The following is a 24494-nucleotide window of genomic DNA, read 5'->3' as shown; positions in this document are numbered from 1 at the left end:
GTTAGGGAGACATTTTTATGTAGCTAATATAAGATATAAGGAGCTATATAAGGAGTTAATCTCGTCTAGCAAAATGCAGTTAAGTATTGACATCATTCTGGAGGCTTCAGCTTCCTCCTTAGGGAAAAGATCCTTGTAGTTCATGCCTTATAATTGTTGCTCCAGGCAGAGGGTGCCAGTGCATTAGCATGCTGTCTGACACACTCAGGAGATCCTGGCCTCTTATCAGAAAAAATGATTTTACTGTGGAATGTAAGTCAATAAAATAACCCCAAGTGTCTTTTTGAATTAGGGAAAATGAAGGCATTAGTTGATGCTTCTTTGGATAGCTAGCACTTTGGAAATTTAGGAATTCAGATATATCATCTTCTAAAATGGAAAATGTAATTGTATTAGTAAATTAATTCTCCAGTGTTTATTCTGGTAGGCATGCTATTTTCAAGTTGAACTTGATATCTTGATTTTGTTAGAATTATAATCTCTATTACCTTGAGTCCCTTAGTTATCAACAGGTATGGAACATTGATGTCTGTTTCATAGGACTCTAAATTGTTTTTATTTTTTTAAAATGATTATAAAGGATTATATTAGTAATGGAATTTTGGTCTTCACAACAGTAATTTATTTGATGTTGTATTTTTGATCAAGCATGAAATTGTTATAAGATGGTTCCTAAAGAAAAAGATGGGTAACAGTTCTCTCGAGATGCGTGGTGGTAAAAAGTATATAGCTGGCTGTTTTCTTGCTAGGTAATTTTGCTTTTTGGTAGAACCACATTTTTGACTCTTTTTTTACATCATCTAGGTATTGTTAAGAATTTTTTATTGTGATTTTACAAAAGACAAAATGCCTTACTTCGCTTTCTTGTTCTTACAGTTAATGTCTAACATGCCTCCTGTTATTTTCATCTAATAAGATTGTGCATTTTTTTTAATAAACTATTATCGGCGAGGTACTAGAGACTTATCTTTCTTAGTATTTTTTTCTTTATAAGATTTTTTTAAAATTGTGTTACACTTTATGGTGCACGTACCAAGAAAATTGAATAACCTAGATCGAGTTTTTAAAGGAAAAAACAGCAAGACCACTCTCCATTTTTGAGGACTTCTGTGCTGAAGGAATTGCGAAGCTTGAGAGGGAAGACTTATTCCCCCTTAATATTCATAGATACCCTTTTAAGCCATGTCTGAGTCTTTGCACATAGTTCATCTTTGTCTCTTGTTAAGCCATTCTGTGGCTTTGAAAACCTCATATATGAATTTGGGAAATTTGAAATTGCAACAAAGTGATAACTTTAGATTCTCAGAATGTTTCTCATAATCTTAAAAAACTAGGTCATAGCACTTGAGAAATGTATGGCATTCGATGTGCTAGATTTTAGGAATTTGATGTCCTAGGTATCTGAAATACTAAAACAATATATTTAGCTTGCCTCACTTTCTCTAGAGTTTGGGTTGTTGGTCACACCTTTGGTAGTTTTAACGATTATTTCAAGCAGATATATAGTGTTTTCTGTTACTGGATAACAATATACACTTTCTTCACTGTTACAAGTAAAAAACAACAATCCTAGTATACACCAAGATGAAATGCAGGTATAAGCTCTGGCCACAAAATAATGTGAGAAATACTTAGTTCTATCTGACCATCTCATTTTACATTGAATTCATCAGCTATAATTAACAGTATAATTTGCTAACTGATGATGATGACTCATATATGTAAGCCTATAAACAGTGATAAATTCTAAGCCCGAATTTGGTTGCTGTAGTTTGCTGTAATCTAAGTGTTTAGTTAGGGCTTTGTGGTAAGCTTATTAAAGCTTATAAAAATGATTCTTGAGTGTCTTTATGCCAGGAATCACATTGGACTCTAAGAGTGGTATGTAGATGCTATATAAGTGCTCTATTTAGTATTGTTGGAGTCATTATGCTCTTCCCCATAATGAATTTGGGCTGTTGTGGAAGGGTTAGTCAATGTTATTTAAGAATGCACATTGTGTGGGCATAACAAGAAATGGAAGAGATGATGGCTATGCCCAAAAGAGCTTGCATTCTAATTGGAGAAAGCTGTTCTCCTCTCTCATACTGACTTTTTTTTTTGAGATGTAGTCTCACTCTGTTTCCCAGGCTAGAGTGCAGTGGTTCGATCTTGGCTCACTGCAACCTCTGCCTCCCGGGTTGAAGTGATTCTCCTGCCTCAGCATCCCACGTAGCTGGGATTACAGGCACGCGCCGACACACCCAGCTCATTTTTGAATTTTTAGTAGAGGTGGGGTTTCACCATGTTGGCCAGGATAGCCTCTACCTCTCGACCTCGTGATCCGCCTTCCTCAGCCTCTCAAAGTGCTGGGATTACAGGCATGAGCCACCGTACCTGGCCCATGGTTGACTTTTTAAGAAATTATTTTTTGCCCTTCATAATCAGAATCCAGTGCTCTTACGTGGCTTCTGGGCACTATCCACTCAGAAGAACTTCAGAAGTATCCCCCATGCCTCAGGTATGATGGACCCACCAGATGGAATGGCCAGCTACTTGCTCCCCACCACACCTTGCAGACTTCACGCTCTCCTTTTTCCTTGGATGTTAATAACCATCCAACCTGCCATTCTAAACTAATTATCTGCCAAAATCTCTAGTCTGAGCTCCAGATCTATATTTTCACTTACCTATTGAACATTTCCACCTAAAAGTTTTATCAGTACCTCAAATGCAAGCTCTACAGAATGGAATTTTTATTCCTTTCTCTTTCTGCATTTTATTGTTAGTTTATGATCTAACCTTCAGATAGTGGACATTTACAAAAAAAAAAGCATCTGCATTTTGTCTTAGATTTACATCTTCAGAGAAAAAGGAATAATATTTTTCCCTGAAGATCTTTGTTCTCTAGTTTAGGCATCTTGGTTATTTTGTTTACTTAACATATTTAACAGCGTGAAATTATGGCTTTGTCTCATCTAAAAGCCTGCAGGTGGATTTGGGCTGTAATGCTGAGTCAGTTAACTTTGCATAGTTCTCAAAGTGAAATAGCGAATCAGAGGCAGAACAACAATAAAAAGTTAAGCCTCTGAGGCTTGAATGAATTCTCTGGATAGCTGAATCATAACTGATTCCTGATAAAGGGGAATCATTTATATTTAGGGAAAGAATCTCATACTTAAGATCCCTGTTTGGGTGTAGAAAAATATCATCATTGATAAATTATATAATACTATTCATATTTAACAATAAAGGTCCTTACTCAGAACCCTCTTTCAGAGACCATCACCTAGGACAGTAAATGGGATGTAATAGGTATTCAATAACTTTGGGGAAAGTGCTTTCAAGACACTCATTCAAAAATAGTCATCTTTCTCTACTAGGGCAAGAGCCATTTATTTGCTCAACTGATGTTCATTGAAAAATATCCTAGTTACCCTTAGCAAGTATGTCTTGTTGCTATTCTTTAGAGCAGCAGAGGCTTGAATCAAAAAATGTCCTATTTGATTCTGAACTGCTAGCCTTTCCTGTGAATCTGTGTGCATAATTTATGCTTAATATTAAATGTACCAAAGGAGAGTGAGAAATAAGGTTCTTGCTAAGTTAAGTGCCTTGTTCAGAAACATGTAATGAGTCATTTCTTCTTCTCCTTCTTTATTAAACAAACAAGTACTCACTTTGCATCAAGAAAATTTCTAGGCATTGTAGAGTAAAACAATAAGCAGAAGAGAACATGAAAGATTTGGTTTGAAAATTATTTGAAATGATTCTTAAATGAAAATATGAGGGAGGCTACATAATTTTATACAGAAACCGTAGCTCAAAACACACCTGTAGGCCAGGCAAGGTGGCTCATGCCTATAAGTCCAGCACTTTGGGAGGCCGAGGTAGGTGGATCACCTGAGGTCAGGAGTTTGAGACCAGCCTGGCCAACATGGTGAAACCCCATCTCTACTAAAAACACAAAAATTAGCCAGGCATGGTGGTGGGCGCCTGTAATCCCAGCTATTCGAGAGGTTGAGGCAGACGAATCATTTGAACCTGGGAGGCGAAGGTTGCAGTGAGCTGAGAACACGCCATTGCACTCCAGCCTGGGTAACAAGAGCGACACTCTGTCTCAAAAACAAAACAAAACGAAATAAAAAAACACTTGTAAAAAATTATTCCCAGTTAACTGCACTCATTTAACCAACCTGCTAACACAATTTTTGGTTTATCTGGATCTTTGCTGTATTTATTAGTTTGTAATTGCTAGTTAAAGAAATTTTTTCTTCAATATTTTCTTAATTATTTTTTATTGAATTAACTCGAGGGTAACAACTTTCTTCCTAAGAATAAATAAATAAACCCTATTGGAGCTATTCCCAGAGTTGGCAAAATTTGAGATTATTATAAGAAAATAAAAGAAATTGGAGGCTGGGCACAGTGGCTCACACCTGTAATCCCAGCACTTTGGGAAGCCGAGGTGGGTGGATCACAAGGTCAGGAGTTCAAGACCAGCCTGGCCAACATAGTGAAACCCCATCTCTACTAAAAATACAAAAACAATTAGCTGGGTGTGGTAGCGGGCGCCTGTAGTCCCAGCTACTTGGGAGGCTGAGGCAGGAGAATTGGTTGAACCTGGGAGGCGGAGGTTGCAGTGAGCCAAGATTGTGCCACTGCAATGCAGCCTGGGTGACATAGCGAGACTCTGTCTCAAAAAAAAAAAAAAAAAAAAAATGTAATTGGAGAAACCAACCCACTGAGAAGATTTTCCTATGACCCTGCCTGGAAGTAGTTTAATAAAGTTTGAGGCATCTGATACAAAAATTATACCAATGCAGGGTATGGATTCTTATGCTAGCCCATAGTCCTCCAAGAAGGTGTTCAGTATTCACTGCTTATTTATGAAAATGCCACCTGGTAATATATTGAGGGTTATCTTCCAAATGAAATATTTCATCACTCTCCTCCCAATCTGATTGGACAGGGCTTCCTCAGTGATTGTATAGGGTAGACCCTAGAGCTTTAATATCATGTTAGGACCTAGAGGACATTATGTTAAGTCAGGTGTCCCCAACCCCTAGGCTGCAGACTGGTACTGGTTCGTGGCCTCTAGGAACAGGATGGCACAGCAGGAGGCTGTGGGCAGTGGGCACGCGAGCATTACCATCTGAGTTCTGTCTCCTGTCAGATCAGCAGCAGTATTGTGTCCGGAATTGGTGGGTTCTTGGTCTCACTGACTTCAAGAATGAAGCCGCGGACCCTCGCGGTGAGTGTTACAGTTCTTAAAGGTGGCGTGTCTGGAGTTTGTTCCTTCTCATGTTCGGAGTTTCTTCCTTCTGGTGGGGTTCGTGGTCTCGCTGGCTCAGGAGTGAAGCCGTGGACCTTCGCGGTGAGTGTTACAGCTCATAAAGGCAGTGTGGACCCAAAGAGTGAGCAGCAACAAGATTTATTGCAAAGAGCGAAAGGACAAAGCTTCCACAATGTGGAAGCGGACCTGAGAGGGTTGCCACTGCTGGCTGGGCAGCCTGCTTTTATTCTCTTATCCGGCCCGACCCACATCCTGCTGACTGGTAGAGCCCAGTGGTCTGTTTTGACAGGGCGCTGATTTGTGCGTTTACAATCCCTGAGCTAGACACAAAGGTTCTCCACCTCCCCACCAGATTAGCTAGATACAGAGTGTGGACACAAAGGTTCTCCAAGTCCCCACCAGAGTAGCTAGATACAGAGTGTGGATTGGTGCATTCACAAACCTTGAGCTAGACACAGGGCGCTGATTGGTGTGTTTGCAAACCTTGAGCTAGATACAGAGTGCTGACTGGTGTATTTACAGTCCCTGAGCTAGACACAAAGGTTCCCCACGTCCCCACCAGACTCAGGAGCCCAGCTGGCTTCACCCAGTGGATCCCGCACTGGGGCTGCAGGTGGAGCTGCCTGCCAGTCCCACGCCATGTGCCCGCACTCCTCAGCCCTTTGGGTGGTCGATGGGACTGGGCTCCGTGGAGCAGGGGGCGGCGCTGGTCAGGGAGGCTGGGGTCGCACAGGAGCCCAGGGAGGGGTGGGAGGCTCAGGCATGGCATGCTGCAGGTCCTGAGCCCTGCCCCGTGGGAAGGCAGCTAAGGCCCGGCGAGAAAATGAGTGCAGCACCGGTGGGCTGGCACTGCTGGGGGACCCAGTACACCCTCCGCAGCCACTGTCCCAGGTGCTAAGCACCTCATTGCCCCGGGTGGCAGGGCCTGCCGGCTGCTCCAAGTGGGGGGCCTGCCAAGCCCACGCCCACCCAGAACTCCAGCTGGCCCACAAGCTGCGTGGGCAGCCCCAGTTCCCGCTCGCACCTCTCCCTTCACACCTCCCTGCAAGCTGAGGGAACCGGCTCCGGCCTTGGCCAGCCCAGAAGGGGGCTCCCACAGTGCTGTGGTGGGCTGAAGGGCTCCTCAAGTGCCGTCAAAGTGGAAACCCAGGTAGAGGAGGCGCCGAGAGCGAGCGAGGGCTGTGAGGACTGCCAGCACGCTGTCACCTCTCAGTATTAGATTCTCATAGGAGCAGGAACCCTATTGTGAACTGTGTATGCAAGAGATCTAGGTTGTGCACTTATGGCAATCTAACTAATGCCTGATGATTTGAGGTAGAACAGTCTCATCCCGAAATAATCCCCCCACCCCTGGTCCATGAAAAAATTGTGTTCATGAAACTGGTCCCTGGTGTCAAAAAGGTTGGGGACCGCTGTGTTAAGTGATGTAAATGAGGCACAGAAAGACACACACCACAAGATCTCACTCATGTGGAATCTAAAAAAGTTGATCTCATACCAGTTGAGAGTAGACTGGTGGTTACCAGAGGCCAGGAAGGGTAGGGGATTGTAGGGGATGAAGAGAGGTTGATTAATGGGTACAAATATGCAGTTAGAAGATACAAGATAGAAGATATAAGATCTAGTGTTTGATAGGTCAGTAGGATGACTAGTTTACAGTAATCGATTGTATATTTTTACATAACTAGAAGAGACTAATTCTAATGTTTCTAGCATAAAGAAAAGACAAATGTTTAAGGTGATGGATATCCCAATTACATTGATTTGATCTTTACAAATTTTACGAAAGTATTAAAATCACAGGTACTCCCCCAAAATATGCATATTATCAATTTTTTTAATTTAAGAAAATTAAAAATAAATAGGGCAAAAAATAGTCTACTGTGGTTAATATTGTACTATGTCACATAAAACGTAGAAGCCTTGTAATGTAGGTATCTTCAGCCTCCTATCCCTACCATTCTTTGTTACATATTAATTGTACATTCATTCACACACATTGAAAACCTCACCAGGAAGTATTACAATATCTGCTTTAAATAGCGATTAAATAACTGAAGAGGTAAATATGTGGCCTTCACCTGGGCACGGTGGCTCACGCCTGTAATCCCGACACTTGGGGAGGCTGAGGTGGGCGGATTGCCCGAGGTCAGGAATTCGAGAGCAGCCTGGCCAACATGGTGAAACCCTGTCTCTACTAAAAATACAAAAATTACCTGGGCATGGTGGTGCAAGCCTGTAGTCCCAGCTACTCGGGAGGCTGAGGCAGGGGAATCACTTGAACCCGGGAGGCGGAGGTTGCAGTCAGCTGAGATTGCGCCACTGCACTCCAACCTAGGAGATAGAGTGAGACCCCGTCTCAAAAAAAAAAAAAAAAAGTGGCCTTCATATTTATTGTAATATTTACTGTTTCTGATGCTGTTCCATCATTCCTGAAGATCCAAGTTTCCCTTTGGTATCATTTTTTCTTCCATTTGAAGAACTTCATGAGCATTTTTTATATAGCAGGTCTTCTGGCAAGAAATTTTCTGTTTTTTTTTTTGTCACCAAAAGTGCTTTTATTTTGCCTTTTCCTCTGAAGGTTACTTTTGCTTAGATACAGTATTCCAAGCTGATAGTTTTTTCTTTCAGCATTTTAAACATGTTTCATTGTTTCTTGCCCTCCACCTTTCCTGATGAGAAGTCTGCAGTTGTTTAAATCATCATTCTCCTCCATGTAATGTGTTTCCTTTAGCTGCTTCTAAGATTTTTTTATCTTTGATATTTAGCAGTTTGATGGTAATATGTTTAAGTGTGCTTTTTAAAAAATTTATCTTGTTTTATATTCACTGAAATTCTTCAAGTCTGTAAAATTTAAATTTGGCTAAATACTTTAAGTATTTTCATCCATTTAAAAATTTTCATCCATTGTATTTTTTATGCCCCAATTTTTTTCTTTTCTCTTTTTGGGACTTCAGTTATATTTATTTGACCTTTTGTTATTGTCACAGGTGTCTGAGGCTCTGGTCTCTTTTTTTTCTTTCTTAATTTTTCTTTATGAGATGGAGATTTCACTGTGTTGCCCAGGCTGGTCTTGAACTCCTGGGCTGAAGTGATCCTCCTGCATTGGCCTCCCAAAGTGCTGGGATTACAGGTGTGAGTCCCCAAACCTGGCCCCTCTGATCATTTTTTAAAACATTTTTTATTCTTCAGATTGGTTAATATTTTCAAGTTTACTGACTCTGTATTCTGTCATATTCATTCTGTTAATGAGTCTATACATTAATTTTTGATTTTCAATCTTTTATTTTTCTTTTGGAAATTTAAATTTTTCTATTTATTTTATAACTTTTCCTTTATCTCTAGGAGGATGATTACAATAGCTGCTTTAAATTCTTTCTGGTAATTCTAATATCTGAGGCCCCTTGGAGTGGTGTTTGTTGGTTGTCTTTTCCATTGAGAATGTGTTACATTTTTGTGGTTCTTTGTATGTTGAGTAGTTTGGGGTTGCATCCTGGACATTTTGAATACGATGTCACATAACTCTTTGCTCTGTTATAATCCTTTGGAAAATGCTGATGTTTTTTATTTAGCAGGCAGCTAATTTAGGTTCAGGCCTCATGTTTTTGAACTAGTTCCTCTTACTCTTCCTGTGAATGGTATTTGCAACCTGTCTGTTTCTCAAAACTTTGCTCTGCTGGTTTGGGTCTATCCAGTGGATGCTTGCTTCTGAGAATTTGTGGGTATGTGAAAAATCAGGACATCTCTCCAGCTCTCTCCTCTCTGGGATACCCTCCTCATACTCACCTTCCTTGGTTCTTTTCTATCGTTCTTTCAGCCAGAAAGATGGTAAAGTTTTTACTGGACTTTTAGCACCTTTGTTACACTGCTTTGCAACTGGGGCCTGTCACCATGCATAGCTGTGAGAAGGGGAAAATTTCCCCAAACCAAGAAACTTACCCCATGGGTGTCGCTTCTTCAGGTTTGACTCCCCTCCATAATCTGTTTGCATTTGCTTACTTGTCAGGATTTCAGTTGTTTCTGGCACTTTGTTCAGTTTATAGCAGTAATCGTTGAGGGATCTGGGCTCTTATGAGGCTTACACTACAATGATGGAACTGGAAATTTCTGTAGAGCCATTTAAATATTAGTAAATTGAATGATGTCAGAACAAGTAATAGATCTTTGCCTTATGTGAAATATAGTGGGTAGGGAGGAAGGTAGGGAGCTCAAAAGAGCCTTAACTGCAAGTATACATTTTCTGATTTCCCCCATAATGTATATGAAACTATAATCTGGTTTGGGGTCATTAACTTCAGCTCTTCGGTTTGTATTTTTAAAGCATTTGAAGACACTTCGTCACCCTTGCTTGCTAAGATTTTTATCTTGTACTGTGGAAGCGGATGGCATTCATCTTGTCACTGAGCGAGTACAGCCCCTGGAAGTGGCTTTGGAAACATTGTCTTCTGCAGAGGTCTGTGCTGGGATCTATGACATATTGCTGGCTCTTATCTTCCTTCATGACAGAGTAAGTAACCTGTATAGTCTGCATCACAGACTTTGATGTAGATGGGGGTGGGAGGGTGATGTGTGTGGTAATACTTATAAATTATGGTGTTCATAGAAATTGTAAGTTAAGTGTTATTATTAGAAAACTTCCTGAGGAAAAATAGCATGTTGGAAGGCACAAGAGGTGCTATAGATAGAGGTTTTATAGAATGGACAACTAGTTCTGTGTCCCTGGACAGTTACTTATAGAATTTTATTTTAGTTTACTATAGTCTGTCTCTAGTTTTGGATAATTCTTTGCCTAAACATAGCTACAGCTGGCATGAGTTACTAAAACAAAGAAAAGGTGTAATGTCAGTGCTGCCATAGACCAAAGTTCCTATTTGTTTTCAGGAGTTGTGTCCCATTTTAGATTTTGAAGAAAGAAATGACCATTTCTTAGGAAGAGGCAGAATACATACATATCCTTTCCTTTCCCATTTGAGTAGTTGGGGCCAATTGAGAGACAGCCTCTTAACATTCTGTGGTGTAACCAGTGTGCTTGGCTCTCTGATGATATTTGCTATTACTAGAAGATGGTTCCTAGGTTTACTTCTGGTCTGTTTCTTGACAGTATTACTGTTTTCTTAATGGTATTTGCATTCTGAGGCATTAAGGTCTTTGGCAGTCCACCAAGATTAAAAAATACTAGTCACAGGTTAGAAACACTTGGACTTGACTCATCTTTATGTATGTTTTTAAATTTTTTTCAATTAATTGGAGACAGATTCTCCAAATATCATGTTGGATTTATAGTCTCTTAAAAGTGCATTTACAAGTTCGCATGATAACGAGAATTATTAGTGGTTCAGTGGGGAGAAATATCTTCTTTGTTGACAAAAGTGCATACACATGGTTAAAAAGTTTGTACAGTATGTGGGTGAGGTGTCCCTCTCCCATCCTTGAATCCAGTGCCCTAATTCCTCTCTTCAGAGGCAATGGTGGTAACTCGTGTATTATTCCAGAGATGTTCTTTGTGCATATAAAACAAATATCTAGTGTGTATACTTCTTCTCTTTCATTTTTTTCTCAAATGGAGATATACTATACACACTATTCTAAACCTTCCTTTAAAAAATATTTATCTTTTGGAGTATTCTCTATAAAAATATTTACACATTTGATGTATTGGGTAGAATATTTAAAGTGCTCTTTTGGCCAGGCGCAGTGGCTCACACCTGTAATCCCAGCACTTTGGGAGGCCAAGGCAAGAGGATCGCTTGAGCCCAGGAGTTTGAGACCAGCCTGGGCAACATGGCAAGACCCTATCTCTACAAAAACATTTCAAAAAATGAGCCAGCCATGGTGGCACATGCCTGTAGTCCCCCTACACCGGAGACTGAGGTGGGAGGATTGCTTGAGCCCAGGAGGTCAAGGCTGCAGTGAGCTGTGATCACACCACTGTACTCCAGCTGGGGCAACAGAGACCCTGTAATAAATACATACATTACATACATACATAATAACTTTAAACATACTTTTTTATCACTGAAATGATTTTTGGTTTGGGGAAAAAAACTTAAATACCTGAATCCTGTTCTTATTTTCTCCCTTTCTTTTACTTATTTGACTGTACTATTTTTACAGTTTTAAAATGGGCTCTTTTGTGGTCTGTGGGATATTTCTTTTTTTTTTTTTTTTTTTTTTTTTTTTTTATTTGAGACAAGGTCTCACTCTGTCGCCTAGGCTGGAGTGCAGTGGTGTGATCTCGGCTCACTGCAAGCTCCACCTCCCGGGTTCACGCCATTCTCCTGTCTCAGCCTCCCGAGTAGCTGGGACTACAGGCGCCCGCCACCATGCCCGGCTAATATTTTGTATTTTTCGTAGAGACGCGGTTTCACCGTGTTAACCAGGATGGTCTCGATCTCCTGACCTCATGATCTGCCTGCCTCGACCTCCCAAAGTGCTGGGATTACAGGCGTGAGCCACTGCACCTGGCCAGTCTGTGGGATATTTCTGGTGGTCCTTATCATTCCATTTTCCTCTTCTTCAGGCAGAATTTTTTTAATGCCTACTAACAAGATTTCAGATGAAGTAGATCTGGGTTCGTGATAGAATGTGGGTGAGAAAGAATTTAGAGAAGAAAATAAATAAAATAACCTATGTGAGCAAAGATATATTTTATCTTTAAAGGCATTGGAAGCAAATAATATAGATTATACAGACTTGTAAATGTATGTTTAAGAACATGTATATCCCCTGACTCCCATAGAAATCGGGAGATGACTGTGTGCACTGGCTTTAATGTGTTTATTAACCTGCCACATGAGGCAGGGGGAGATAACAGAAGCCCTTCCATTCCATTTTTCTTTTTATCTAACTTCATTCAATTTGTTGTTTCTTAAAGTTATAGTTCCATTTATTATGCCACAAGTGGGAAGGCTTGTCATAATTTTTTTGGTGATTAGTATTTAGTTTTTTAAAATAAAGATTGTGAGAGATGGAGAAAAACATCTTTTGAAGTAAATTTCTATTTCAGATCCTGGAGTGGCACTCTTCCTTCTGTTCTTTTTTTTTTCCAGGGACACCTAACACACAATAATGTCTGTTTATCATCTGTGTTTGTGAGTGAAGATGGACACTGGAAGCTAGGAGGAATGGAAACTGTTTGTAAAGTTTCTCAGGCCACACCAGAGGTAAGCCAGGGGACAGCCCCCCTTCCTTACTTGGTTTTTAATAGCGTCTTGGTATGTGGTTCTTGCCTAGGCACTTTCCTTCAGTGTTAGCTTGGTCTTAGATTTGGAGACTTGAATTTTTTGTCAGTGCCCTCATTTATAGAATTATAGCATTTTGTTCCTCAGAGGCAGTGGGGGTCATGTATCCTTTCTCCTTATTTTATAAATAGGGAAACCTGAGACGGAGAGAGGTAAAATGTTTCGTTCAGATATTTGAGTTAAATGCCCCTCCTCTCTGCCCCATAGTACCTTGTACTTACTTGGATCATACCACTTGATAGTGAAATTACCTTTATGTATCTGTCTTGTATTCCATTGGTTGGGCTCTTAAGGGTGTGAGTCTCTTATCTTTATACCTCTACCTAGAATAGTGCCTGGCACATACTAGGTATTCAGAAAATGTTCTTTGAACAATTGTCCGAGTTGCCCAATTTCATACATGGTATCTTAGTAGCGGGATTTAGGACCTGTGCATCTTAACTCCTAGTGGACTGTGTTGTTGCTGATGTAGTATTCCTTATACTTTTGTCTGAGAGTTCTGCATGTTTCCCTCCCAGGTTGATGAACCTTTCTGTTTTCTGTTTTGTGTGTTCTTTTCACATTTTGCGTGTTGCTGCTGCATTCACTCTTTCTTAAGGAAAAAATAAAAACCATTTCCATCTTAATATCCCTACGGAAATGGTGGCTCACTGTTGACTTACTGTTTCAGCTTAATTTCCCCTATTCTTTTTTGTGCTGCTTCCACACTTAACTTGGGCCATGTCTAACGTGTACCTTCATGGGTTCTTGCTCAGTTCAGATGTTCTACCACAAAGACATCTTTCTGGTTATTCTGTCCATATTGATCTCTTTCTTCCCTGAATTTACCTTTTGTGTACTTTGTATATAGCATGTAATCCTTTCTGTGCTGTTTATTCCAAATTCTTTGCCATGGGATATAAGGCCCTTCACAATCTTTCTGCAGCCTACCTTCAGCCTCATTTACCATTTAGGTTTTTCTGGGGAGTGCTGGGAAACGGAATTTCTCTCTGTCACCCAGGCTGGAGTGCAGTGGTGCGATCTCGGCTTACTGCAACCTCTGCCTCCCTGGTTCAAGTGATCTTCCCACCTCAGCCTCCTGAGTAGCTGGGACCACAGGTGCACACCACCACACCTGGTTAATTTTTTATATTTTTGGTAGAGATGGGATTTTGCTGTGTTGCCAAGGCTGGTCTCAAATTCCTGACCTCAGGTTATCTGCCCACCTTAGCCTCCCAAAGTGCTGGGATTACAGATATGAGCCACCGAGCCTGGCCTCACTCAAGAGTTCTTGAGCTATAGTCTGGTTACATCTTGTTCCATGCAGTTCAGCTGTGTTCCCACATATGCCTTCTTCCTTCACACTCTTCTTCTTTGTAGGCCATTCTGTTGCTGGAATGCATTTCTTCCCATTGGCTTCTGGAAAATGTGAACTCATCTAAGATCTGGCTTTAATCTCCTTTCTGTGACTCCTTCCCCTAGGCATTCCCCTGCCCAACAAAATTAGTCACCCCAGTGCTTCCAGGGCACTTAGCACGTTTATGGAGATTCTTAGTTTACATTCTAGGTTATGAGCACCTGATTGGGGGCAGAAACTTTATTGCATTCATCTTGTATTCCTAGTGTCCTAAATGATGTTCGGGACATATAGGCTCTTCAAAAATAGTCTTCGAAACTAGCAAATTAATATGCTTATTCTGTGGATGTTGGTTTTGTCTCCATAACTAAGGTTCTCAACTTTCTAATCTCGTGTGGTAGCAAGACTTAAGATTCATTTGGTTTAGTGAGATTAATGACAGATTTGTTCTGTGCTAGAAAAGCCTTCTTATTGTTAATATCTAAGCAGGAAAAGAAAGAAGTGTTCTAATTTCCATATAAGGAAATCAGATGCACAGATGCCTCTGAACAGCAGAGCGTGTCTGTTAAACCAGATGAAGGGGAGAGGAAAAGGAACTACCATTTATTACTGTGCCTTGTGCTGTGCCAGGTACTTTATTTGCATTTTTAAAATTAGAAGCATTTTAAATTTGTGCATCTAATATGCGGCATTGATTTGAAGGTTTAATTGGTGCTGTTTGCATTGCTCATTGCTTATGTAACCTGATGTAAGAGATTAGTTCACCAAACATATGTATGAATCATTTTCTTTAATTTATTTCTCTGTCTAGTTTCTGAGGAGTATTCAGTCAATAAGAGACCCAGCATCTATCCCTCCTGAAGAGATGGTAAGATGATATACTTCACATATAATGAAGGTGCCTTTGTGTAATTGAGTATGAAATTTTAAAAAACTTTCCTCTGCTTACTCCTTTCTTTACTGAGTTATAGATGCCTCATAATTCCTCTGGCCTTAAAGCTTTCTAAGATTAATCTTATCACCACAGCCAGGGAGCCAGCTTAAATTTTTTTGTCACATAAACACCTATGATATTGTTTAGAGGTAGAGATACCTCAGTGTGAACAGACAATTATACCCATTTCACGATAAGTAGTTGTATTAGTCTGTTTTCATGCTGCTGATAAAGACATACCTGCGACTGGGCAATTTACAAAAGAAAGAGGTTTATTGGACTAACAGTTCCATGTGGCTGGGGAGGCCTCACAATCATGGCGGAAGGTGAAAGGCACTTCTCACATGGCAGCAGACAAGAGAAGAGAGCTTGTGCAGGAAAATTCCCTTTTATAAAACCATCAGGTCTTGTGAGACCTACTCACTATTACCAGAACAGCACAGGAGAGATCTACCTCCATAATTCAATCACCTCCCACTGAATTCCTGCCCATGACACATGGGAATTGTGGGAGTTACAATCCAAGATGAGAGTCACAGCCAAACCACATCATTCCTCCCCTGGCCCCTCCCCAGTCTCATGTCCTCACATTTCAAAACCAGTCATGTCTTCTCAACAGTCCCCCAAAGTCTTCACTCATTTCAGCATTAACTCAAAAGTCCATAGTCCAATGTCTCATCTGAGATGAGGCAAGTCCCTTCCACCTATGAGCCTGTAAAATCAGAAGCAAGTTAGTTACTTCCTAGATACAATGGGGGTACAGGCATTGGGTAAATACGGCCATTCCAAATGGGAGAAATTAGCTAAACAAAGGGGCTACAGGCAAGTGTGAAATCCAGTGAGGCAGTCAAATCTTAAAGCTCCAAAATGATCTCCTTTGATTCCGTGTCTCGCATCCGGGTCACGCTGATGCAAGCGGTGGGTTCCCATGGTCTTGGGCAGCTTCTACCCCTGTGGCTCTGCAGGGTACAGTTTCCCTCCTGGCTGCTTTCACAGGCTGGTCTTGAATGTCTGCAGCTTTTCCAGGCACGTGGTGCAAGCTGTCAGTGGATCTACCATTCTGGGATCTGGAGGATGCTGGCCTCCTTCTCACAGCTCCATTAGGCAGTGCTCCAGTAGGAACTCTGTGTGGGGGCACCGACCTCACATTTCCTTTTCACACTGCCCTAGTAGAGGTTCTCCATAAGGGCCCTGCCCATGCAGCAAATTCTGCCTGGGCATCCAGGCATTTCCATACATCTTCTGAAATCTAGGTGGAGGTTCCCAAACCCCAGTTCTTGACTAATGTGCACTTGCAGGCTCAACACCATGTGAAGCTGCCAAGGCTTGGGGCTTGCACCCTCTGAAGCCACATGCTGAGCTCTACGTTGGCCCCTTTCTGCCATGGCTAGAGCGGCTGAGATGCAGGGCACCAAGTCCCTAGGCTTCACACAGCATGGGGACCCTGGGCCTCGCCCATGAAACCACTTTTTCCTCCTAGGCCTGCAGGCCTGTGATGGGAGGGGCTGCCATGAAGATCTCTGACATGCCCTGGAGACATTTTCCCCATTTTCTTGGGGATTAACATTTGGCCCCTCATTACTTATGCAAACTTCTGCAGCTGCCTTGAATGTCACCTGAGATTTTCTTTTCTATTGCATTGTCAGGCTGCAAACTTCCCAAGCTTTTATGCTCTGTTTTCCTTTTAAAACTGAATGCCTTTAACAGCACCCAAGTCACCTCTTGAATGCTCTGCTGCTTAGAAATTTCTTCCGCCAGATACCCTAAATCCTCTCTTAAGTTCAAAGTTCCACAGTTCTTTAGGGCAGGGGCAAAATGCCACCAGTCTCTGCTAAAACATAACAAGAGTCACCTTTGCCCCAGTTCCCAACAAGTTCCTCATCTCCATCTGAGACCACCTCAGCCTGGACCTTATTGTTCATATCACTAGCAGCATTTTTGTCAAAGCCATTCAACAAGTCTCTAGGAAATTCCAAACTTTCCCACATTTTCCTGTCTTCTTCTGAACCCTCCAAACTGTTCCAGCCTTTGCCAGTTACCCAGTTCCAAAGTCCCTTCCATATTTTCAGGTATCTTTTCAGCAACGCCCCACTCTACTGGTACCAATTTACTGTATTACTCTGTTTTCACGCTGCTGATGAAGACATACCCAAGACTGGGCAATTTACAAAAGTTCCACGTGGCTGGGGAGTTCCTTAAAATCATGGCAGAAGGCAAAAGGCACGTCTCACCTGGTGGCAGACAAGAGAAGAGAGCTTATGCAGGGAAACTCCCCTTTTTTAAAGCCATCAGATCTTGTGAGGCCCATTCACTATCATGAGAACAGGGCAGGAAAGACCTGCCCCCCATAATTCAGTCACCTGCCACTGGTTCTTCCCAGGACACGTGGGAATTGTGGGAGTTATAATTCAAGATGAGATTTGGGTGGGAAAACAGTGAAACCATTATCAGTAGTTGCACTTTGCTGGAATCCATAATAATTATGGAAGCAAAAACCCTAGTCCTTTCTTGTATGTCACCCAAACCATTCATCTATCTCTAGCTGCCCATTACTTAGGATTTCAAGATGCACAGAAGAATGATTATTAAGAGTGCTGGTAAAGAAAAATTCTATTTACCAATAAATTCAAAAGCAGATGCTCCTTCTATAAATTTGTTCTTATAGCCACTATAAATAATCCCCAAAGATATATTTAGTGTGCTTTACAGGAAATATGAACTCAACTATAAACTTAAGTATAGACCTAAGACTTGAAATAAATCAGATTTATCCAAATCAGTATTATGTATATATACTAGTGTTTTTAAAATCGGTGATTTGCGGGTTTTAAGTCAATTTAGGGGGTCCTGACTAGCATTTTATAAAAAAAAAAAGAATAAAAGAACATGTCTTTGGGCATCTTAGATAGTAAGGCTAAGCACTGTTTTATGAAACTTTTGTTTCCATTATGTGTGTATTTATGCACGTGTATGTATAGTAGAGCATGATATAAGACATATTCTTTACCATGGATTGCTGTGAAAATATTTGTAAAAGCCACCGACATGTGCCATATTCTAACCTTTTTAAAAATTTTTGCTCATTTTAATGTTTTACAATCTTCAACAAATTCTATTCACTAATAGTGTTAAGAATCTATACATTCATGTGTGGTGGTCTGAAGATAGATTTGAGTATAATAAATACAAACATGGGAGAAGGTGCTTCAGAGAAAATTAGAAATGGCTTATAAGGCAGATCCTCTAGTTTTAATTGTCTTCACTGCTTTTAGTCTCCAGAATTCACAACTCTCCCAGAGTGTCATGGACATGCCCGGGATGCCTTTTCATTTGGAACATTGGTGGAAAGTTTGCTCACAATCTTAAATGAACAGGGTGAGTTGGAGTTATACTACTGCATCTATAGAATAAGTAGGAAAATCATCCATGACGTATTCTGTGTGGAATTCAAAGGACTACAGTCTTTGAGCACAGTAAGGAATCTTTTGCTTACCAGGTAACTTTTTTAGGGCAGATACTAAGAACAGTAAGGAAAGAAGCTTTGGGTTTCATTAGTTTGCATGGTGAAAAGAATTTTAAGTAGGAAGCACTTTGAACTATGGCTGTCAGTATCATGTGTGATTACCTTATTAATTGGTAATAGTACTTAAGCGGTCTAAATGTAGACTCTATTCCTTATTGAACCGGCCAATAAGTACATAACTATCATTAATGATTTATATGTAATAATCTGAATAATAGGGTAAAATTCATAATTTTTTGTTAAATTGAGCTCAACATTTCTTTATTCTTTCAAAGCTCATTTGATTTATTTTCCTATTAATTTACTCTTCACTTTTTTCTTTCATTGCCTCTTAAAGCTCAGGCTGCTAAAGACATTGTTTTCTCCTCTCTTCTGTGTTCTCTAACTGCATGCTTGGCAGCCTGCTTCACTCTCCTGTGCCCACTTTAGGACTTTAATTTTCCACTCATTGAGTTTACTGAGGCATGTGTCACAGTAGGCCCCTTATTGGCCTACATCTCACATGGCTCAAGCTTTGTGCCAGTTCTAATGCGGTTTATTCTGCCAGGCTTATGCAGTGTTCTGATTCAGCTGTCAGCTCTAAATTGTCCCATCCTAAATACTTGAGAATTAAATCCTAAGGCCCAAAGGCATCCATTGTGTATAATGAACTAACTATTCTATGTATTTAGAATGGTAGCAATTATTTACTATCCTTGGAAGAATTGTAAATATAATCATTCATATAACTGTTCTGTGGATGAGGAACCCCTGTTGAGAAAGACCCTCAAACCTATCACTGTTAGCCCTTCTTCTTTGGGCCTGAGCTGGGTTAAATGGATAATCAGGAAATGAGAGGGTATAGAAGGGAATGGCACCTGGGGTGGGGTTTGATGGTGGTGGCAGGACAACTTTCTACACCTGCCAATGAGTTTTGCCTAAGGCAAGCAGGAAGCTGTTTAGCAACAGCCAGGGCTTTGTTTGTTTGGGCTTTTACAGGTTGGTTTTTGCTCTCGGCAGTCTCCAGCTATAGAGGTCCTGAAAAGAGGGAGAAGGCATTGGAAACTAACTGTAGCTCTGGATTTCAGTTTCAGCGGATGTTCTCTCCAGCTTTCAACAGACCTTGCACTCAACTTTGCTGAATCCCATTCCAAAATGTCGGCCAGCGCTCTGCACCTTACTATCTCATGACTTCTTCAGGTGAGGGCATCTGGTGTGGTGACGCCAGCTGCTTCCGGAACACTGCTGCCTGCTCTTGTGCCTTGGATAAGTGGCAGTGGGGGGTTTTTGGAGGACCAAATGATGCAGTTTCTGTTGTTAATTATTAGGAGAGATTGAATCATGTCCACAGGAGAAAATAGAGGAAGAAATTGGGTTGTCTGTCAGTTTCCTATTATAGATAGGAAGTTTTAGAAATCCTTGATTGTCTTGAAGGCTTGGATTTAGAAACTGTAGCCAGATTTATTAGGGCTTCTAATAGTGAAGAAGCTAGGTGTGTCCACTGGTTTACAGTTGTAAGTTAATTGAAAAAGTTACTAAACCTAGCCTTTCTTTTCTGCTGCCATTATATTATGAGTTTATTATTATTCAGTTTTTCTCATGGGGATGGGGAATGAGTTCATATTCTTTGTCTAGTAATATGTGATGGAAGAGCAAATAAGTTGGTTTAGAGGCAAGGGCACAATATAATTTAATACCTTATTAGATTCAGAGATATTTTTGAACCCTTCTTCAAGGTTAGTTTTAATTATGTGTCCTTCATTTTTTTATTTCCATGACTGCAGAACTTCTGCACAGGTTAGTTCCATATTCATGACTTCTATTAGCAAAGCCAACCTTATGTTAGTTTTAAAACTAAAAATCCTATGTGTTTGCATTTAGAGCTTGAGAAAAACCAGAGCAAAGGGAAGGCTAGTATTATTCCCAAGTGGGGAAAATTACCTCTAGGATAGAACTAGGGGTAGGTGGGGAAGGGTAATCTTATTAAATAAGTAGCATTTATGGTTACTGGGCTTATATTGTCATATTTCAAACTATTCAAAACTTTCCCATTATGATCGTCTTTTTTGAGGATGTTTTTAAAAATTTGTATTTTTAATTGACAAATACAAATTTTATATTTATCATTATGAGAGTCTTTCCAAAGTACTTCTATGCCCTTTTGGATGATTCTTAGAAATATTTTATTTCCCTTGATAGAAAGTCTCTACAAAGAACAATCCCTTATGGTAAATAGATTCTCTCATCACTCTGTGTAAAATGAGTTATTTATTAAGAGTTGTATTGTAAATTGAGAGGGGAGAGGAAAACTGAAAACACACAAACCGTACCTGCCAAAATCCCACTGTTAATGTGGGGAGAAACCCCAGTTAAGAGACAACAGTAGGAGCCAGGGTCAGCATCTCTTACAGAGGCAGCTGAACCAATTTGATTGATTAGATTTAAGTTTAGACATCTTTGCTGCTGAACCAGGGGGAAGCCTAAAGTAGGTATAAACATAAGATGTGAAGATCCAAGTGGTATCTCTGCTTACTGGGCCTCCCAATAGGCTGTCCAGCTTGTATGCCGGAGCATCTGGGGTCAACAGTCTCATATACAGTAGGGTGTGAGCTGAGCAGTGCACAGCCTTTGGAATTCTCTGGCAGCCCTGTAGGAAACCGACCACTCCTCTCACACTAATCCCTGCCTGGCTGAAAGAATGACCAAGTAACTTACAGCAGGAGAAATGAGAAGATTGCTGTATGGAAATTCCACTTTCCACAATCTCTTTAATAGTTTTTATTTCATCAAAGGAGACTTGAGAGTCAGCAATATTTTGTAATGGTAATGTCATTTCTCCCAGGATACTTCATTTAACATCCTATTACAACCAACAGTTTGGAGGATTTTTCTGACTAAACCATAAAGCATGTTAGCATATGTGTGTTTAAACTTGTATCCTCGTCACAGATCTCTTTGCTATTAAAATATTAGATTTCAGAGGCGTGTTCCATAGTATTTGTCTCATAAGCTACTTAGTTGTAATAGAATCTTTAAATGGCAAAGGAGAATGTTTCTTGGTTGAAAATTATATTGATGTAGTCTGTGATTATGACCTCAATATTTAACATTCTCTAATCTGTTCTGCTGAATTCCTTCTCTTTTTGGCATTTAGAAATGATTTTCTGGAAGTTGTGAATTTCTTGAAAAGTTTAACATTGAAGAGTGAAGAGGAGAAAACGGAATTCTTTAAGTAAGTTCAGAAAATTAAGAATTTAAATTGAATAACTTGGATTAAGTCCATATAATCACTTTAGGTATTCTAGAGAAGATGAGTCATATATTTGGTTTATTTCACATTTATTGAACATTTCCTATGTGTCAGGCTTTCTGCTAGGCCCTGGTGGGGTAGATATTTCTGGTGAAAGAAATAGATACCCAGACTGATAATCCTTAAACAGAGAGGTGGGTACAGTAGAGCTTTTGGAAGGAGTCCTGAGAACACACAGGGCAGGAGGAGGTCGTTAGAGAAAAGGTATTCTAGGCAGAGGGGCAACATGAACAAATGCACAAAGACAAGACCTAGTGTGACTTGTGCAGGAACCGCAAACAGTTGAGTCCTGCTGGGGGACAAATTCCAAGACAAGGACAGGTAGGAGGTACACCTTGCATGTGGCAGTGAGGAGTGCTGATGTTATTTGTAAATAGGGGACTTCAGGCATTGAAGCCATCAAAGAGATGGAAGCAGGCTGTGAAACAGATTAATGTCCCTTTAGGTGGATCACTTTGTTCTCTATTGAGTGGGAAGGCTTAACTCATTTAAGATTTGGATTGGTTAGTGACTATGGTAGTCCAGGCAGTAAATATGAAGCCACACATAAGGGCATTAATGTCTCCAATGAAGAAGACACTAAGATAAACATTTAAAAAGATAAAGCTGAGAAGCCTTAGTGATTATCACCAAATGAAATAGAGAATATTGGAGGAGAGGACCTAATATGCAGGGAAAATTATGACTTCAGTGTTGGATATGTTGGTTTGAAGTATCTGTTGGACTTTAGATAGAGATATACATGGACCGTTGAACAGACAGGTCTGAAGCTTCAGAGAAGTCTTAAGCTGATGAGCTAGAGGGAAATATTAGGGTGTTATCAGCCTATAGTTGGTGATATTTTCACAGAGAAAGTGGGTAGCATGAAAAGGACAGTGAGCCCAAATTGTAATCCTGGGGCACCCGACCTTATAAGGGGGCTGGTGGGAAGGAGTGGCTGATGAATGAGAAGCAGGGGTTAGAGGAGACTCAGAGAGCTAGGAAGGCTATGATATTCCCAAAGGAGTAGGGAATTTCACGAAGGTAGGAGGAACGAACAGGTACCTGTTCATTTAGTAGTTAGGAAGACACTGGTAACTTTATCTTAGCAAGAGCTGTTCCAGCAGTGAGAGTGCATTGGGCTGAGAAGTGAACAGAAGGTGAGAAAGACACTGGAGAAAAACTTGGAGAGAAAATATTACTGAAGAAGCAAATGGGGTCAAGGAAGGATTTTGTAAGGGTGGAAGAGACCTGAGCATATTAATAGACGAGGGAAAGGAGCTAGCAGAAGAATGGAGGGAGCAGTTGAAGCTGCAATCAAGTTGGGGAGATGGTTGGTGCATTGTCCTGGAAGAGAGGGGAATGCTGGGGCAGTGGCTGGATGGGGGTGGCCTTAAGTAAGAGGAGGCCCTCGGATCCTTAATAACTAGAAGGGAGGTGGGAATGAGTATCAATGTAAACCTGTTTGCTGATAGCGGTGTAGGGGTTTGAAGGTGATAATGCATGTGACCTGTTTCCTAATAAAGTAGGAGGCAAGGATATCTGCTAAGGGTGATTGTATAATGGAGTAATATTACCATTAATACCTAATATCTGTATTTCTTAACAAAGTGCCTTTATATATGTTGTTTTAATTTATGGGGATAGTGACAAAAGCCTATGTTTTGTTAGTTATGGAAGCTTTCTACATTGTTTAAATTTGAGAAAGTGTCTTTTATTATCTACAAAGCCTGTCTTCTTAGGGTAAAAAGGAGGGCACTTTGACTATTAGTAAGGGGATAATTTGGTGGAAACATTTCCTGGTGTGAATTGGAGGTGTGCTGACTAGCTGGCTTTGCTCACACTTTCTGTATTTTTTTTTTTTTTTTTGAGACAGAATCTCACCCTGTCACCCAGGCTGGAGTGCAGTGACATGATCTCAGCTCACTGCAACCTCTGCCTCCCAGCTTCAAGCGATTGAACCTCAGCCTCCCATGCCTCAGCCCCGAGTAGCTGGGATTACAGGCGTCTGCCACCACGCCCGGCTAATTTTTGTACTTTTAGTAGAGATGGGGTTTCACCATGTTGGCCAAGCTGGTCTCAAACTCCTGACCTCAAGTGATCTGCCCGCCGCGGCCGCCCAAAGTGCTGGGATTACAGGTGTGAGCCACTGCACCCAGCCACGCATTTTTCTTAAGTACTTGGGGACCAATCTGTTCACCTTCTCTATCTCCATTTCAAATGCATCACTTTGATAGAAGTGAGAGAGAGGATGTGTGTAGGCTAAACTGTACAAGTAAGCTGATACAGTGTCATGACCAGTTTCCTGGGCTTTCCCTTTTTGTCCTCAGATTTCTGCTGGACAGAGTCAGCTGCTTGTCAGAGGAATTGATAGCTTCAAGGTTGGTGCCTCTTCTGCTTAATCAGTTGGTGTTTGCAGAGCCAGTGGCTGTTAAGAGTTTTCTTCCTTATCTGCTTGGCCCCAAAAAAGGTGAATGCTTTTTCAAAGTGTTATTGCTAGTTAAGAAGTTTGGTGATTATTAGTCCATATTTGAGCAGGATGAGATTACTGTGTGGTGTAGTTAATGTTTGGTTCTAAAAACGGAGAACAATTGTTGGCCCCTGATGTGATAACTTTAATTCAAACCTGGGTACCAGAGTTCACAGGATAAATGAAGCATCTTCCTAGAGAGTCCAATTTACTATAGTAAGTGTTATATCTGACTAGAATCTGAAATATACATTTGAAGTTTTAAGGTAAGGCATGCATCTTCAAAGAACTTTTACATTTATCATGAATCATTTAGGCCTGTGCCTCCTACCTTACCAAGAGCAACCCATTTATTTTCTATTTTCAGTGAAAAGCACTGAGATCATTTTACTTCCTGGGGCTTCAAGTTTTTTTTACGAATGTGAAATGAGGTTATTGCTTTGGAATTTT

General features: G+C 40.7%; 1 protein-coding gene across 8 annotated transcripts in view, besides 1 other annotated feature; it reads left to right on the top strand.

Moving 5' to 3' along the window:
• The window catches only part of SCYL3 (SCY1 like pseudokinase 3), a 44638-nt gene that overhangs the window by 5856 nt on the left and 14288 nt on the right, over window positions 1-24494 (top strand). For all 8 annotated transcript variants that reach the window (XM_017001863.2, XM_011509801.2, NM_020423.7 and 5 more), the window contains 7 exons: window positions 9594-9779; window positions 12322-12435; window positions 14661-14717; window positions 18056-18158; window positions 19374-19485; window positions 21440-21517; window positions 23905-24044. In XM_017001863.2, coding sequence (XP_016857352.1) covers window positions 9594-9779; window positions 12322-12435; window positions 14661-14717; window positions 18056-18158; window positions 19374-19485; window positions 21440-21517; window positions 23905-24044 — 790 coding nt within the window. The remainder of the gene's footprint in view (window positions 1-9593; window positions 9780-12321; window positions 12436-14660; window positions 14718-18055; window positions 18159-19373; window positions 19486-21439; window positions 21518-23904; window positions 24045-24494) is intronic.
• Window positions 8963-9012: an enhancer, noted in NCBI's record as "active region_2080". NCBI's record gives its function as "activates an Ori minimal core promoter by ATAC-STARR-seq in GM12878 lymphoblastoid cells {active_cell/tissue: GM12878}" and the evidence as "EXISTENCE:reporter gene assay evidence [ECO:0000049][PMID:35858748]".

This window comes from Homo sapiens, chromosome 1, assembly GCF_000001405.40.
Source record: "Homo sapiens chromosome 1, GRCh38.p14 Primary Assembly".
NCBI lineage: Eukaryota > Metazoa > Chordata > Mammalia > Primates > Hominidae > Homo > Homo sapiens.
Note: the sequence above shows the minus strand (reverse complement) of the source record. Positions and strands in the feature narration are given on the sequence as shown.